Source organism: Homo sapiens, chromosome 12 (genome assembly GCF_000001405.40).
Source record: "Homo sapiens chromosome 12, GRCh38.p14 Primary Assembly".
NCBI lineage: Eukaryota > Metazoa > Chordata > Mammalia > Primates > Hominidae > Homo > Homo sapiens.
The window spans coordinates 6,423,467-6,438,474 of NC_000012.12; the positions used below are offsets into that span (position 1 = coordinate 6,423,467).

Sequence of the window (15,008 nt, forward strand, 5' to 3'; positions counted from 1 at the left end):
TCCATCCACATTGCTGCAAAAGATGTAATTTCATTCTTTTTAATGGCTGAGTAGTATTCCATGGTATAAATATGCCACATTTTCTTTATACAATCATCCATTGGTGGGCCCCTAGGTTGATTCCATATCCCTGCTCTTGTAAACAGTGCTGCGATAAACGTATCTTCAAAATAACAGCCTTGAAGCCCTAATTGGGCTCCTGAGAGGGCCACGTGAGACAGTGTGAAGAGCGAAATCACTATTCTGCCACAAGAGGGCACCCAAAGCCCAGACAGATGGGACGACGCGCTTCCTGCCTCCATTGGAATCAAGCGCATGACTGGATAGCAGAGGCTCCTTGGGCAGGGAGCCACAGCTTGAAGGTCCCAGTTATGCAACTGGCCCCAAGGCCCTTCTACCCCTTCCCCAGGGGACTTCACCAGCTCCTTTTAGGACAGAGTTTGTGTATGGTTCTTGCTGGCTTCAGTCCCTCCCGTAGAGGTGACCCTGAGTAGCTGGGATTACAGGTGCCAGCATATGCACCTGTAATCCCTCCTCCCTGGGGAAAATCTCTGCCCTGGATGGGTAAGATCCTGACCCTGCGTGAACGTGGCATGCGCTTCTGTTCTCCACTCCCTGGAGTTCCTCCTGAGGCCGTGCAGGATCCTGTCCAGTGCTCACAGGCATGAGCATGACTTCAGGGTTGTGAGCAGAGCCCTGCAGAGGTATGCATATGGCTATGGAGTGGTGACCTACTCGGACAGAAAGAATAAGGAAAGGATCCAGTAGCCAGGCCAAAAGGAAGAGGCACCAAGAAGGGCTGCAGCTTGAGGGTGGAGATTCCAGACTTCCAGATACTCTAGTGGGGGTACGATTTGGACCCAGGAGGCAGGTTGCAAATCTAAACCCATCAGAAGCATATGGACTCTTCTTTTGATTAGTTGTCAATGCGAAAAAATTTTTTTAATTTTTAAAAAGGGTATAGACTTAGACAAACTCAGAACTATTAAATTTATAATGTAGTTTGAAACATTTAAGGGAACATTGTACTAAACTGAGAACTATATAGATGTACGCAGGCCCAAGTCTGGCTTCCTAGCCTCAAATCTGGCAAATAAATAAGGTTAGCCTTCCTGAGACGGTAATCACAGATCACGGTCATACACTGCCCACTTGAGTAAAACCGTTCCCCTTGGGGACGAGTGTTCTTTTAACCCCAAGAAGGTTTGGAATCAATCTTTATGATGGCTTTTACCCTCTCAACTTAGCTAAGACGAAACCATATTTCTTGGAAATTAATCCCTGTATGGTTCTGGGTGAGGGTTGGCCACAAGAGAAATGTAAGATTTGAGAGGTAGGAAAACAGAATAGGAGCGGCCGTCGTGCTCTGAGGCCAGCATGGGGTGACAGTCATCTGCTGGCTCACCTTGTCTGCACGGATGGCAGCCAGACTGGCAGCTCTTCCAGCTCCCGTCAGATCGCCTCCTTCAGCTTCTCTAATTCTTGGCCACACAAGTGCAACTCCGTGGCAAGGAGTGCTAGGTCCTTCTGCAGACACCCATACCATCGGGGTGGGTGGTGGTGAGGCACAGACGCAGGCTCCGGATGGCCTTTGCCCTGCCCCCACTTCACATCCAGTGCTTCTCCCAACTGACCCATAGTGACCTCAGGTCCACCACAGATACGGAGGCCTCCAAAGACTCCTTCCCCAGCTGCCATGATTGATTAAGGTCTAATCTCTAAAATAAGTTCCTTATTCCATAACACTCATAGTGGTTTTGACTCTCTGGTCAAACCTTAACTGATAAAAATCAAAAGTGATGAAGCAAATCAAACTCATGCTAAGTTTCAAACAGGTTTTAACCACTGCATGCATTTGGTACTTAAAGTTTTTGTAATGCTTAAAAGAATCTGACATATATTAATACTTAAATAGGAAATGCATGAAACTACAGAAAAAAAAATTAAAAAAATTTTAAACAATTTGACATAGAAGTATTATAGATTAGCCTCATTATTATATTAATATTTAAAATGTATAATTGCCGGGCATGGTGGCTCATGCCTGTAATCCTAGCACTTTGGAAGACTGAGGCGGGCAGATCGCTTTGAGCCCAGGAGTTCAAGACCAGCCTGGACAACCTGGTGAAACCCTGTCCCTAGTAAAAATGCAAAAACTAGCTGGGCTTCATGGCGTGCGCCTGTAGTTCCAGCTACTCGGGAGGCTGAGGTGGGAGGACTGCTTGAGGCGAGGAGTTCGAGGCTACAGTGAGCCGTGATCACACCACTACACTCTAGCCTGGGCAACAGAGCCAGACCCTGTCTCACAAAACAAAAGAAACAAACAAACCACACAAACTTGCAACATCCTGCTTCTTGCAGCTCTCCCCATCCGGCCCACCCCATTCCTTTGGCGTGAAAATATGATGGGGTCTCCTCAGCCCTAGAAGCACCCACACCGTTCAACCTAAAGCTCCCACTGACTAGCTGAGCTCTCATAAAGGTGAGATTTGTCGCATACGCCTCCCATACACCTCTTCCTAGTAGATTTCTTCACTCTTTCCCTTCCATTCTGAGCACGGCCCCACTTAAGGAACTCTCAGCTCTCATGTTGCCCTATCCCAGTCAAGAAGGAAGTTGCTGGTGATCAAGTCATACTCCAGTGAACACTGACTGGCACCTCTTCTGCATCAAGTCCTAGCAGGGCATTCACCCGAGTTACCAAACATGGCTGCTCACACCCGCCCTCCGAGGCCAGCATCTGCATCCCCATGTGACAGTGGAAACAAACCCACGGAGCCTGAGCAACTGGGCAGCCAGCAAGTGACTGAGCAGAGAGACGGCCTTGGACGCAGGCCAAGCAGCACAGATTTACTCGAATCATCCTCCGCTCCTTCAGATTTTCACCAGCTGATTGATCCTTGGACTTCCCCCCCAGGCTTCTCTGACATCACCAGCCACCAGGACCCTGCCTATGCCTGTGGCCTGCAACATTCCTCTATGCACATCAAAGTAGGGAGCATCAGGCCGGGTGCGGTGGCTCACACCTGTAATCCTAGCACAATGAAAGACCGAGGTGGGCAGATAACTTGAGACCAGGAGTTCAAGACCAGCCTGGCCAACACGGCGAAACCCCATCTCTACTAAAAATACAAAACAATTAAGCAGGGATGATGGTGTGTGCCTGGGGTCCCAGCTACTTGGGAGGCTGAGGCATGAGAATTGTTTGAACCCGAACCCAAGGCTGAGGCAGAAGTTGCAGTGAGCCAAGATCGCGCCACTGCACTCCAGCCTGGGTGAGAGAACTCCAGCCTGGGTGACAGAGGGAGGCTCCATCTCCCAAAAAACAAAACAAAACAAACAAACAAAAAAAACAAGTAGACAGCATCAATTCTGGCCAACTTATGGGTAAAAGAGAAGGCTGCCACAGCCCTTGCCCTTTGGGAGTGCCTGTCCCTTCAGTAGCTGCCCCAAAAATCCTGCAGAAGAGAAGGGTCAGAGGAAGCACCTGTAATAAAGGGTGAGGCCCCACCAACCCACTCTCTTCCTCTCCTCTCCTAGCCGAGGGAGCCATCAGAGGCAAAGGGAGTGTGGGAAAGATTAGTCAGACATGTTTCCCTTTGTGTCACAGAGTCAAACTCTCCATCCGTGACTTCAGAAAAGTCACAAGAGAGCCCCAGCAACGGCCCACAGGGTGTCATAGCAACACGCCTACACCTCAAGGTGCCACCTTCCAACTCTGGAGAAAACAACTGCCTTCTTCAAATGTCAACTGCTACATGGGCAAAGAGCAACTTGAAAATGAAATTCGGGGCTGGGCGCAGTGGCTCACACCTGTAATCATTTTGAGAGTCCAAGGCGGGTGGATCACTTGAGCCCAGGAGTTCCAGACCAGCCTGGGCAACATGGCAAAACCACATGTCTTCAAAAAAATACAAAAAGTAGACAGGCATGATGGCATGCACCTGTAGTCCCAGCTACTCGGGAGGCTGAAGTGGGAGGATCACTTGAACCCGGGAAGTGCAGGCTGCAGTGAGCCGAGGTTGCACCACTGCACTCCCCACTCAGTCTGGGTGACAGAGCGAGACACTGTCTAAAAAAAAAAAAAGAAGAAGAAAAAAAGAAAGAAAGAAAATGAAATTGAAATTAGGGGCCGGGCACAGTGGCTCATGCTTGTAATCCTAGCACTTTGGGAGGCCGAGGCAGGCGGGATCACCTGAGGTCAGGAGTTTGAGACCAGCCTAACCATGATGGTAAAACCCAGTCTCTACTAAAAACACAAAATTAGCTGGGCATGTGTGGCGCATGCCTGTAATCCCAGCTATTCAGGAGGCTGAGGCAGGAGAATCACTTGAACCCAGGAGGTGGAGATTGCAATGAGCCGAGACTGCGCCATTGCACTCCAGCCTGGGCAACAAGAGCGAAACTCCATCTCAAAAAAAAAAAAAAATGAAATTAGGAAAAACAACTCAATTTACAATAGCATCAAAAAGAATAAATACTTAGGCATACATTGGCCAGGTGCGGTGGCTCACATCTGTAATTCCCACATTTTGGGAGGCCAAGGCAGGCGGATCACCTGAGGTCAAGAGTTCGAGACCAGACTGGCCGACATGATAAAACCCTGTCTCTACTAAAAATACAAAAAATTAGCCAGGCGTGGTGGCAGGCACCTATAATCCCAGCTACTCGGGAGGCTGAGGCTGCAGAATCGCTTGAACCTGGGAAGCAGAGGCTGCAGTGAGCTGAGATTGGGCCGCTGCACTCCAGCCTGGACAACAGAGTGAGACTCTGTCTCGAGAAAAAAAAAAAAAAACTTGGTATACATTTAACAAAGAAAGTGCAAGACTCATACACTGAAAACTAGAAAACATTGTTGAAAGACATTAAAGAAATCCTAAATAAATGGAAAGACATCTGTGTTCATGGACTGAAGGTAACAATATTTCCCAATTTCATCTACAGACTCTATGCAATCCCCATCGAAATTCTAACTGCCTTCTTTTTTGCATAAATGGACAAGCTGATCTTAAAATTCACATGCAAATGCAAGGGACACAGAGTAGCCAAAATAATTTTGAAAAAGAAGAACGAAGTTGAAGTCCCAATTTCGAAACTTACTATAAAGCTACAGTAATCAAAACCATGGTATTGACCTAAAGACAGACATACAGATCAATGGAATACAATTTAGAGTCCAGAAATCAACCCATACATCTATTGTCAATTAATTTCAGCAAGGGTGCCAAGACCATTCTGTGTGAAAAGAATAGTCTTTTCAAGAAGCAGTGCTAGGACAACTGCATATCCACAAGTAAAAGAATGAAGTTGGACCCCTACCTAAAACCAGATAAAAAATTTAACTCAAAATAAATCAAAGAACTAAATTTAAGAGTTAAAACTATAAAACTCTTAGAGGGAAATATAAGTGAAAATCTGTATGAGTTTGGATTCGGCAACAGTTTCTCAAATATGATGCCAAAAGCACAGGCAACAAAAGAAACAGTAGATAAACTGGACTTCATCAAAATGTGAAACTTTTTTTTTTTTTTTTGAGACGGAGTCTCGCTCTGTCTCCCAGGCTGGAGTGCAGTGGCGTGATCTCTGCTCACTGCAAGCTCCGCCTCCTGGGTTCACGCCATTCTCCTGCCTCAGCCTCCCGAGTAGCTGGGACTACAGGCGCCCGCCACCACGCCCGGCTAATTTTTTGTATTTTTAAGAGACGGGGTTTCAGCATATTGGCCAGGCTGGTCTCCATCTCCTGACTTCGTGATCCGCCCGCCTTGGCCTCCCAAAGTGCTGGGATTACAGGCATGAGCCACCATGCCCGGCCCAAAATGTGAAATTTTTATGCATCAAAGGGCACTATTAAGAAGGTAAAAAGACAACCCACAGTATGGGATAAATTTTTTTTTTTTTTTTTCTGAGACGGAGTCTCGCTCTATCGCCCAGGCTGGAGTTCAGTTGTGCGATCTCGGCTCACTGCAAACTCTGCCTCCCGGGTTCCACACCATGCTCCTGCCTCAGCCTCCCGAGTAGCTGGGACTACAGGCGCCCGCCACAACGCCTGGCTAAATTTTTTTTTTTTTTTTTTTTAATTTTTAGTAGAGACGGGGTTTCACTGTGTTAGCCAGGATGGTCTCGATCTCCTGACCTCGTGATCTGCCCGCCTCGGCCTCCCAAAGTGCTGGAATTACAGGTGTGAGCCCCCGCCCCGGGCCAGAGAAAATATTTTCAAATCACTTATCTAGTAAGGTCTAGAATTCATAATATCAAAAAGAAAAAAAAAAAAACTCTTGCAACTCAGCAACAAAAGACACAAATAATTTAATTTAAACACGGGCAAAGGACTTGAACAGACATTTCTCCAAAGAAAATATACAAATGGCGATGAGCACATAAGAAGATTCTCAACATCATTAGTCTTAGTGAAATACAAATCAAAACCACAATAAGATACCACTTCACACCAACTAGGGTAGTTATAACTTTTTCAAAAATAGAAATGTATCTGTGATATTTGCACATCTTTGTGAATATAGTAAAAGCACTGAATTGCACATTTTTAAATGATGAAAATGATTCATTTTATCTCAGTAAAAGTCTAGCCACTGAATTGTACATTTTTAAATTATTAAAATGATTCATTTCATCTCAGTAAAAGTCAACAGGCACCAGGGATCCCTTCAGTTTGGGCTGGAGGTCAGTGCAGTTTGGGGGGTCATCAAATGCTGAAGCAGAAGGAGTTTAGGGGTCACGCAAGTCCCAGCTGCCGTGTGACAAGTGAGGTAAAGGACACACCCTCTGTGGAGGTCTGAAGTCCCCTGACATTAGTAAGGGAGGGACAGCAGAGATCTCCCCTGTCACCACGAGGCTTTTTTCAGCCCCCAGGGCAGATGGCAAGTGTATACCATGTTTGGCACCCCTGTGATTGGCAGAGGCAATGCAGGTTGGGTCTGGAGGACAAGATTGCTGTGGGGGAGAGCCAAGGGTGGACTTCAGAACACTGGTGGTGACATAAGGGTAAAAAGGCCTTGGTCACAAAAGAGGAAACACAAACAGCGCGATCATGGAAAGACGCTCAGCCTCCCCGGGAATGGGAAGAGTGCACACTGAAACAATGAGACAGCACTTTCCTCCAATGAGATGCTCAAAAACAGTTTGCTAATACGAAAGCCTGGCAGGACGTGAGGAAATATGTGCTATCATTCCACTGCTGGTGGGAGTGTGAATTGGTAGGGCCACTCTGGAGGGCAACTCGCCAGCATCTGTTAAAGTGAAAAATGTGCACACCCTGTGACTCAGCGATTCCGATGCCCCGCACTTATTCTAGAGAGACACTCCCACATGCACAGCGAAGTATGAGATGTTTATGCAACACCACTTACGATAGTGCATTGTTGGGAACAACCTAAGTATTCGGGAACCAGGAGAATGGCTAAAAAGCCTCTGCACATCCATTCTCTATTTAACGAAACGAGTAGTTCTAGAAGTATAAAATGAAATGATCTCCAAGACATATAACTGGATTAAAAGCACGAAAAGCAAATCGTAGGATACATACTGTATATCATTTATGGAAAGAACAAAACAAACACAAAAATACAACTGTGCTGGGGCCGATGGACAATTGTGCCTGGCAGGCTGAGTCATGAGGCCAGTTAACAAGCCTTTCTCTATCTGCAAAAAGAAGTACTTTAGAAAAGCAATATAAGAAGAACATGGACCAGGGGCAGTGGTTCATGCCTGTAATCTCAGCACTTTGAGAGGCTGGGGTGGAAGGATTTCTTGAGGCCAGGAATTTGAGACCAGCCTGAGAAACATAAAGAGACCCAGTCTCTACATAAAATTAAAAATCAGTCAGGCGTGGTAGTGTGCACCTCTGGTCCTAGATACTCTGGAGGCTGAGGTAGAAAGATCTCTTGAGCCCAGGAATTCGAGGCTACAGTGAGCCATGATTGTGCCACTGCACTCCAGCCTGGGTGAGTAAGCAAGGCTGTCTCTAAAACACAAAAAGAAGAAGAACATGGAACTGCCAGACTTGGGCTATTTCATTTCCCAGAGATAATTTTTTACCGAGTGGAGAGAAAATGGGTGGTTTGTTCCTTAGGCTCTATTTCTTGCTCTGTGCTAGAATTATCGCAGCTTTGTGTAAGATTTCCTTCAGCAAATATAGGTAGCCTGCGATGCCCCAAATAAGAAAGGAAAAGACAAAGTCAGATGTTACTGCTGTCGGTCATCTCAGGTATGAAAAAGAGAGGCAGGCCCCTTGCCAGGGAGAAGGAACAACCAGATGCTGTCCATGAGGCACTCTCCTACCTCTCCTAAGACAGGGGTCGCCCTTGCTCTGAAAAATTCAAGCAGAGAATCCTCAGGAGGAGTGGGGCCAAGAAATCAGAGTAAGAAATATTTGATTATTGCTTAATAACATTTTAAGTAGAAAATAAAATAATTTTTTAAAACAGGCTGGCCGGGCGTGGTGGCTCACGCCTGTAATCCCAGCACTTTGGGAGGCTGAGGCAGGTGGATCACGAGGTCAGGAGATCGAGACCATCCTGGCCAACATAGCAAAACCCCATCTCTACTAAAAATACAAAAATTAGCTGGGCATGGTGGCATGCACCTGTAATTCCAGCTACTCGGGAGGTTGATGCAGGAGAATCGCTTGAACCTGGGAGGCGGAGGTTGCGGTGAGGCAAGATCATGCTATTGCACTCCAACCTGGTGACAGAGCGAGACTCTGTCTCAAAACAAAAACAAAAACAAACAAACAAACAAACAGGCCGGGCATAGTGGCTTACGCCTATAATCCCAGCACTTCAGGAGGCCGAGATGGGCGGATCACCTGAGGTCAGGAGTTCAAGACCAGCCTGACCAACATGGTGAAACCCTATGTCTACTAAAATATAAAAATTAGCCAGATGTGGTGGGGGGCGCCTATAATCTCAGCTACTCGGGAGGCTGAGATGGGAGAATTGCTTGAACCCAGGAGGTGAAGGTTGCAGTGAGCCGAGATCATGCCATTGCACTCCAGCCTGGACAACAAGAGCGAGACTCCACCTCAAAAAATAAGAAGGAAAGAAAATAATTTTTAAAAACATAAACATATGCCTACCACAGTGGCTCATGCCTGTAATCTCAGCACTGTGGGAGGCTGAGACAGCTGGATCAATTGAGGTCAGGAGTTCAAGACCAGCCTGGCCAACATGGTGAAACCCCATCTCTACTAAAAATACAAAAATTAGCCGGGTGTGCACACCTGTGGTCCCAGCTGCTTGGGTGGCTGAGGCAGGAGAATCACTTGAACCCAGGAGGTGGAGACTGCAGTGAGCTGAGAATGTGCCACTGCACTCCAGCCTTGGCAACAGAGACTCTGTCAAAAAACAAAAACAAAAACAAAAAACAAAAAACACCCACAACAACACACATAACTTTTTTGTCTAGGAAAGTTCTGGAAGAATACTCAATAATCTGAAAACAGTGCCTACACTAAGGAGGTAGGGAGAGGACCAGGGATTGGGGGAGGAGATTGATCAAAGGGAACCTGAGTCTTCTCTATAATTTTCCATTTTTTTTCATTTTCACCTCCAATTTTTAAAATATAATTTGTACTTTTTATTGTGAACTAAGATATGTAAAATAGTACATAAAAATAACACATTGAAAACCCACGTTCAGATCAGAAGATTAGTAGAACCTTCGAAGCGCCCTGATCACACCTTCCCTCCTCACCGGGGGAAGCAGCTCTGGCTTGTGTCTATCACTTCCTCACTTTCCTTTCTAGTTCTACCATCTGTGTGCACCCTGAACAGCAAACTGCTTCATTTTGCCTGTTTTTGAACTTTATAAATGGAATCGTATGTACTTTTCTATGCCTTGCTTCTGTGTGTTTGTGCACTATCACTTAACATGTTTTTCTATCTATTTATTTATTTATATTGTGGTAAAATATACATAAAATTTACCATTTAAACTATTTTTAAATGTATAATTCAGGGGGCATGAAGTACATTCACGATGTACAATATTATATTTTTGACATTCATGCAAATTAATCTACATGGCTACATGCAGGTGGTTCATATTCATTCCTCTAAAGCATTCCATTGGGTGAATATACAACAATTTATTATCCAACTACCGTTCTCTCCTTCCTTCCTCCCTCCTTCCCTCCCTTCTTTTCCTCCTTTCTTTCTTTCTCTTTCTTTCTTTCTTCCTTTCTTTCTTTCTTTCTCTTTCTTTTTCCTTCCTTCCTTCCTTCCTTCCTCCCTTCCTCCCTTCTCCTTTCTTTTCTTCCTTTCTTTTGCAGTGGCGCGATCTCGGCTCATTGCAACCTCCGCCTCTCAGGTTCAAGCTATTCTTATGCCTCAGCCTCCAGAGTAGCTGGGACTACAGGCATGTGCCACCACGCCCGGCTAATTTTTGTATTTTTAGTAGAGATGGGGGTTTGCCGTGTAGCCCAAGCTGGTCTCAAACTCCTGGGCTCAAGCCATCTGCCCGCCTCCATCTCTCAAAGTGCTGGGATTACAGGTGTGAGACACCACAGCAGCTTGCTTGCTTGCTTGCTTTTTCTTTTGGAATTACAAACAGTAGTGCTTGAATATTTTTGCATATGTCTCCTGGGGCACAGGTACAAGCACTCTTAGTGCATTTACCTACTGATGAAAATGATGGATTTTGCTGGTTTAATTTTTTATAAGGAGGTGATATGAATATTGCTTTTATAATTAAATTTCAATTTTAAAAAAGAAGAGAAAGCAGTTGGGATGGGCTCATAGAGTGAAAGGGCAGGGAACGGTCTATGAGACCAGAAGAAGACAGGCAGGAAGGGCGGCTGAGCCATGCCTGCAGGCTGAGCATGGAAGGTACTGTGAGTACACAGTCAGATCGGCACAGGAAATGAGCACCTTTGAGGCGTCCACTCTGTAGGGGCTCGTCAACAGTAGACTGGGGTTCAGGAGACCTGGGTTCTCTCCCAGCTCTGCCACACAGGGAAAGTCATTTCACCTCTGCACCCCACGGTTCTGATAGCTGTAGAGTGAGAGGGTAAAGCCGAAGGTTGGAATCATTTTCCAGCCCTGCTGGCTTGAAATCCTAAGCTGGCTGGAGCAGTAAGATGGGGGCTCCCCATAGGCCCACAGGACCTTCTACCTAGAAGCCAGGAGGAGGGGACAGGAGCCCAGATAGGAAAGAACTCTGTCTCTCCAAGACCCAAAAAATGACTAAAAGTAATGACTGGGCCTCACCCCAGTAAGTCAGTAGTGGTGGTGCGGTGGTTAACAGCCAGCTCTCGGAGTGGGAAGCCCTTGATCTATGGCGTTTGCTGATGTATGTGGTTGTAAGTATTCCTACTATGGCCAGCTGGCCAATTTCAAGCTACCAACGAGTAACCTCACAAAATTCCTGAAAATGTAAGGATCGGGCTTTGGCTAGGCAGTACTAGCAGGCTCCAGCACGGCCCTAGGAAGGAAGCTGCCCTAAGAGCTCAGGCTCAGACACCGCACCACGGACTAGCAGGGGAAACAAAGGTCTTAGGTCCCTCTCAGGGCTCACAGTCATGAGGCTCAGAAACAGCTGGGGAAAGTGGGGCGTGCCTCCCTCCCCGCCACAGGGAGGATCACCAGACTGGCTCCATGAGCCATTTCCCTCATCTGGTGAGCAAGGGAAGTCACTCAGAAGAGCAAGAATGGCCCAGCCACCCAGCACGGTGGCTCACACCTGTAATCCCAGCATTTTAGGAGGCAAAGGTGGGCAGATCACTTGAGCTCAAGAGTTCGAGACCAGCCTGGGGAACATGGTGAAACTCCATCTCTACAAAAAATACAAAAATTAGCTGGGCTTGCAGGGCACGGTGGCTCACGCTTGTAATCCCAGCACTTTGGGAGGCCAAGGCTGGCGGATCACCTGACATCGGGAGTTTGAGACCAGCCTGAACAACATGGAGAAACCCTGTCTCTACTAAAAATACAAAATTAGCTGGGCGTGGTGGCGCATGCCTGTAATCCTAGCTACTCTGGAGGCTGAGGCGGGAGAATCGCTTGAACCCAGGAGGGAGAGGTTGCAGTGAGCAGAGATCGCGCCATTGCACTCCAGCCTAGGCAGCAAGAGCGGAACTCCATCTCAAAAAAAATAAATTAATTAATTATCTGGGCTTGGTGGCGCATGCCTATAGTCACAGATATTTTGGGGGGCTGAAGCAGGAGGATTGCTTGAGTTCAGAAGGTCGAGGCTACAGTGAGCCGAGATGGTGCCACTGCACTCCAGCCTGGGTGACAGAGCAAGACCCTGTTTCAAAAAAAAAAAAAAAAAGCGAGTAGAAAATGCCAGGGGCAGTTGGGCACAGTGGCTTACGCCTCTAATCCTAGCACTTTGGGAGGCCAAGGCGGGTGGATCACCTGAGGTCAGGAGTTCAGACCAGCCTGGTCAACATGGTGAAACCCCGTCTCTACTAAGAATACAAAAATTAGCCAGGAGTGGTAGCGCATGCCTGTGATCCCAGCTACTTGGGAGGCTGAGACAGGAGAATTGCTTGAACCTGGGAGGTGGAGGTTGCAGTGAGCCAAGATCTTGCCACTGCACTCCAGCCTCGGTGACAGAGTGAGACTCCATCTCAAAAAAAGAAAGAAAAAAAATGCCAGGGGCCCAGGAGCCTACTGTGAGAGGAAACGTCCCGTCGCCTTGTGAAATCATGATTCTGCGTGATGAAGAACCGAGTATGAATAATACATACAGAGCAGACATATCGCCTATGCACAGCTTGTTCAATTTAGTGAGTCGTTCTGTCTCTTTCACACTCCTTTGGTTTCGTTCCCAGGTTAACTAGCTGTTCCCTCAACCCCATTTCTTGGGACTTGCAGCCTCAAATACCAAGGAAGAGAGAGGAGGAATGAATATTTATTGAGTACCCAAACAAGACAAGACCAGACATTTCATTTCTATTGTTACCCTTAATTGTCCCAACATGCTGCAAAGTGCACGACACTATCCTCAAGCAGATGAGGACTCAGTCAAGAGGTTGTGGGACATGCTGGACATGATGCGGGTAGTAGCCGGCAGAGAGGCATTTGGACCACCAACCTGTCTGGTTGTGAAAGTCAAGCTCTCTCCACCTATCCCAGGATCCTCCTGTCTCAGTGGGTTTGGGCCCTGGAACCACCCTTCAGTTCCAGGTCAAGACTGCTCCCTTCATAGCGACATCTTTCCCTCACTGTTTCTCCCCTTGCCTGGTATCTGAGAAATTCCTTTTATAGGTCTTGCCCTTCCCTGGCTACATAGACTGAGAGTCAGAAAACCTCAGTAGTCAGCACTCAAACCTTACACCTAACAATTTACATAATATCTGATTTCAGAAATTAGCTTTACCTCAGATCAAAATTAATCCTATAAATCACAGATCACGTAAAATCACAAGTGTGACAAGTCCCAAAAAAGAAAGTGTGACCAGGCTCACGCCTTGTAATCCCAGCACTTCGGGAGGCAAAGGTGGGAGGATTGCTTGAGCCCAGGAATTTAAGGCCAGCCTGGGCTACATAGCAAGACTTTGTCTCTACAAAAAGATAACAAATAAAAAAAAAAATTAGCCAGGTGTGGTCCCAGCTACTCGAGAGGCTGAGGCAAGAGGATTGCTTGAGCCCAGGAGATTGAGGCTGTATTGAGCTGTGTTGCCACTGCACTCCAACCTAGGCAACAGAGGGAGACCCTGTCTCAAACAAACAAACAAACAAAAAAAGAGGCTGGGCATGGTGGCTCACGCCTATAATCCCAGCACTTTGGGAGGCCGAGGCAGGCGGATCACGAGGTCAGGAGATTGAGACCATCCTGATGAACACGGTGAAACCCTGTCTCTACTAAAAATACAAAAATATTAGCCGGGCGTGGTGGCGGGCGCCTGTAGTCCCATCTACTTGGGAGGCTGAGGCGAGAGAATGGCCTGAACCCAGGAGGCGGAGCTTGCAGTGAGCCGAGATCGCGCCACTGCACTCCAGCCTGGGTGACAGAGCGAGACTCCGTCTCAAAAAAAAAACAACAACAACAACAAAAACATAACTATAGGTCTGTGCTCGGCCAGGTATGGGGGTAAAATTTATATTACCCACGTGGTTGGGAAACCTCCTTTATCCCCAAGAAAAGAACATGAAAACTGGTCTCAAGCCAGTGACATCCCTGGGGCGTCTGACAAAAGCAACTGCAAAAACACTGAAGGGACATGTACTCAACCCAACCACCAAGGTGGCCCACAGAAAAAGCCTGTTGAATATGCACTTTCTTTCCCTCTCTCTCTCTCTTTAATGGAGATGGGGTCACACTCCGTCACCGGCACTGGAGTACAGTGGGGTCTCACTGTGTTGCCCAGGCTGGTCTCAAACTCCTGGCCTCAAGCCATCCTCCTGCCTCAGCCTCCCCAAGTGCTGAGATTATGGTGTGAGCCACTGTGATGGGCTTGAAGATGCACTTTTGATTCAAAATTAGAAAACACACCTGAAACAGTCTGACCTAGAGAAACTTTTTCATCTAAGTCAGTCATAAAAATCAAATATTTGTGCTTAGACTCAGATCAATCTATATAAAGTGTTGAGGAAAGTTTTTTAATAACAAAACACATTAAATCATATTGCTCTTACTAAATATATTACTGTTAATGTTTTATTATATTGTGGAAAATTTTGTTACCTATTAATATTTTAATGAGAGCAACTAGATCTTTTATGTTGCAAATAAGTAAATGTGATATCTTTAAAAATTGTTTTTCCTATCCTTATCTCATTGTTTTTATTTTACTTTTATTATTTTGTTGTTGTTGCCCACACTGGTCTCAAACTCCTGAGCTCATCGATCCTCCCACCTCAGCTTCCCAAAGTGCTGGGATTACAGGCATGAGCCACTGCATCTAGCCAATCTCATCCTTTTTATGTTTCTGTATGTGACTATGTAATTCGATCTCATCCTTTAGAACTTTAGAATGTCTACATATACTTACATAGAACCTATTTGAGTATATAATATATGATTAATTTATTTAAAATATTGTG

General features: G+C 46.3%; 4 annotated features.

The window, feature by feature from the left end:
• Positions 1–50: an enhancer, noted in NCBI's record as "active region_5851". NCBI's record gives its function as "activates an Ori minimal core promoter by ATAC-STARR-seq in GM12878 lymphoblastoid cells {active_cell/tissue: GM12878}" and the evidence as "EXISTENCE:reporter gene assay evidence [ECO:0000049][PMID:35858748]".
• Positions 3,362–3,471: an enhancer, noted in NCBI's record as "active region_5852". NCBI's record gives its function as "activates an Ori minimal core promoter by ATAC-STARR-seq in GM12878 lymphoblastoid cells {active_cell/tissue: GM12878}" and the evidence as "EXISTENCE:reporter gene assay evidence [ECO:0000049][PMID:35858748]".
• Positions 3,512–3,751: an enhancer, noted in NCBI's record as "active region_5853". NCBI's record gives its function as "activates an Ori minimal core promoter by ATAC-STARR-seq in GM12878 lymphoblastoid cells {active_cell/tissue: GM12878}" and the evidence as "EXISTENCE:reporter gene assay evidence [ECO:0000049][PMID:35858748]".
• Positions 10,942–11,442: an enhancer, noted in NCBI's record as "H3K27ac hESC enhancer chr12:6543574-6544074 (GRCh37/hg19 assembly coordinates)". NCBI's record gives its function as "activates a minimal SCP1, AML or CMV promoter by ChIP-STARR-seq in naive H9 embryonic stem cells {active_cell/tissue: H9 hESC(naive)}" and the evidence as "EXISTENCE:reporter gene assay evidence [ECO:0000049][PMID:30033119]".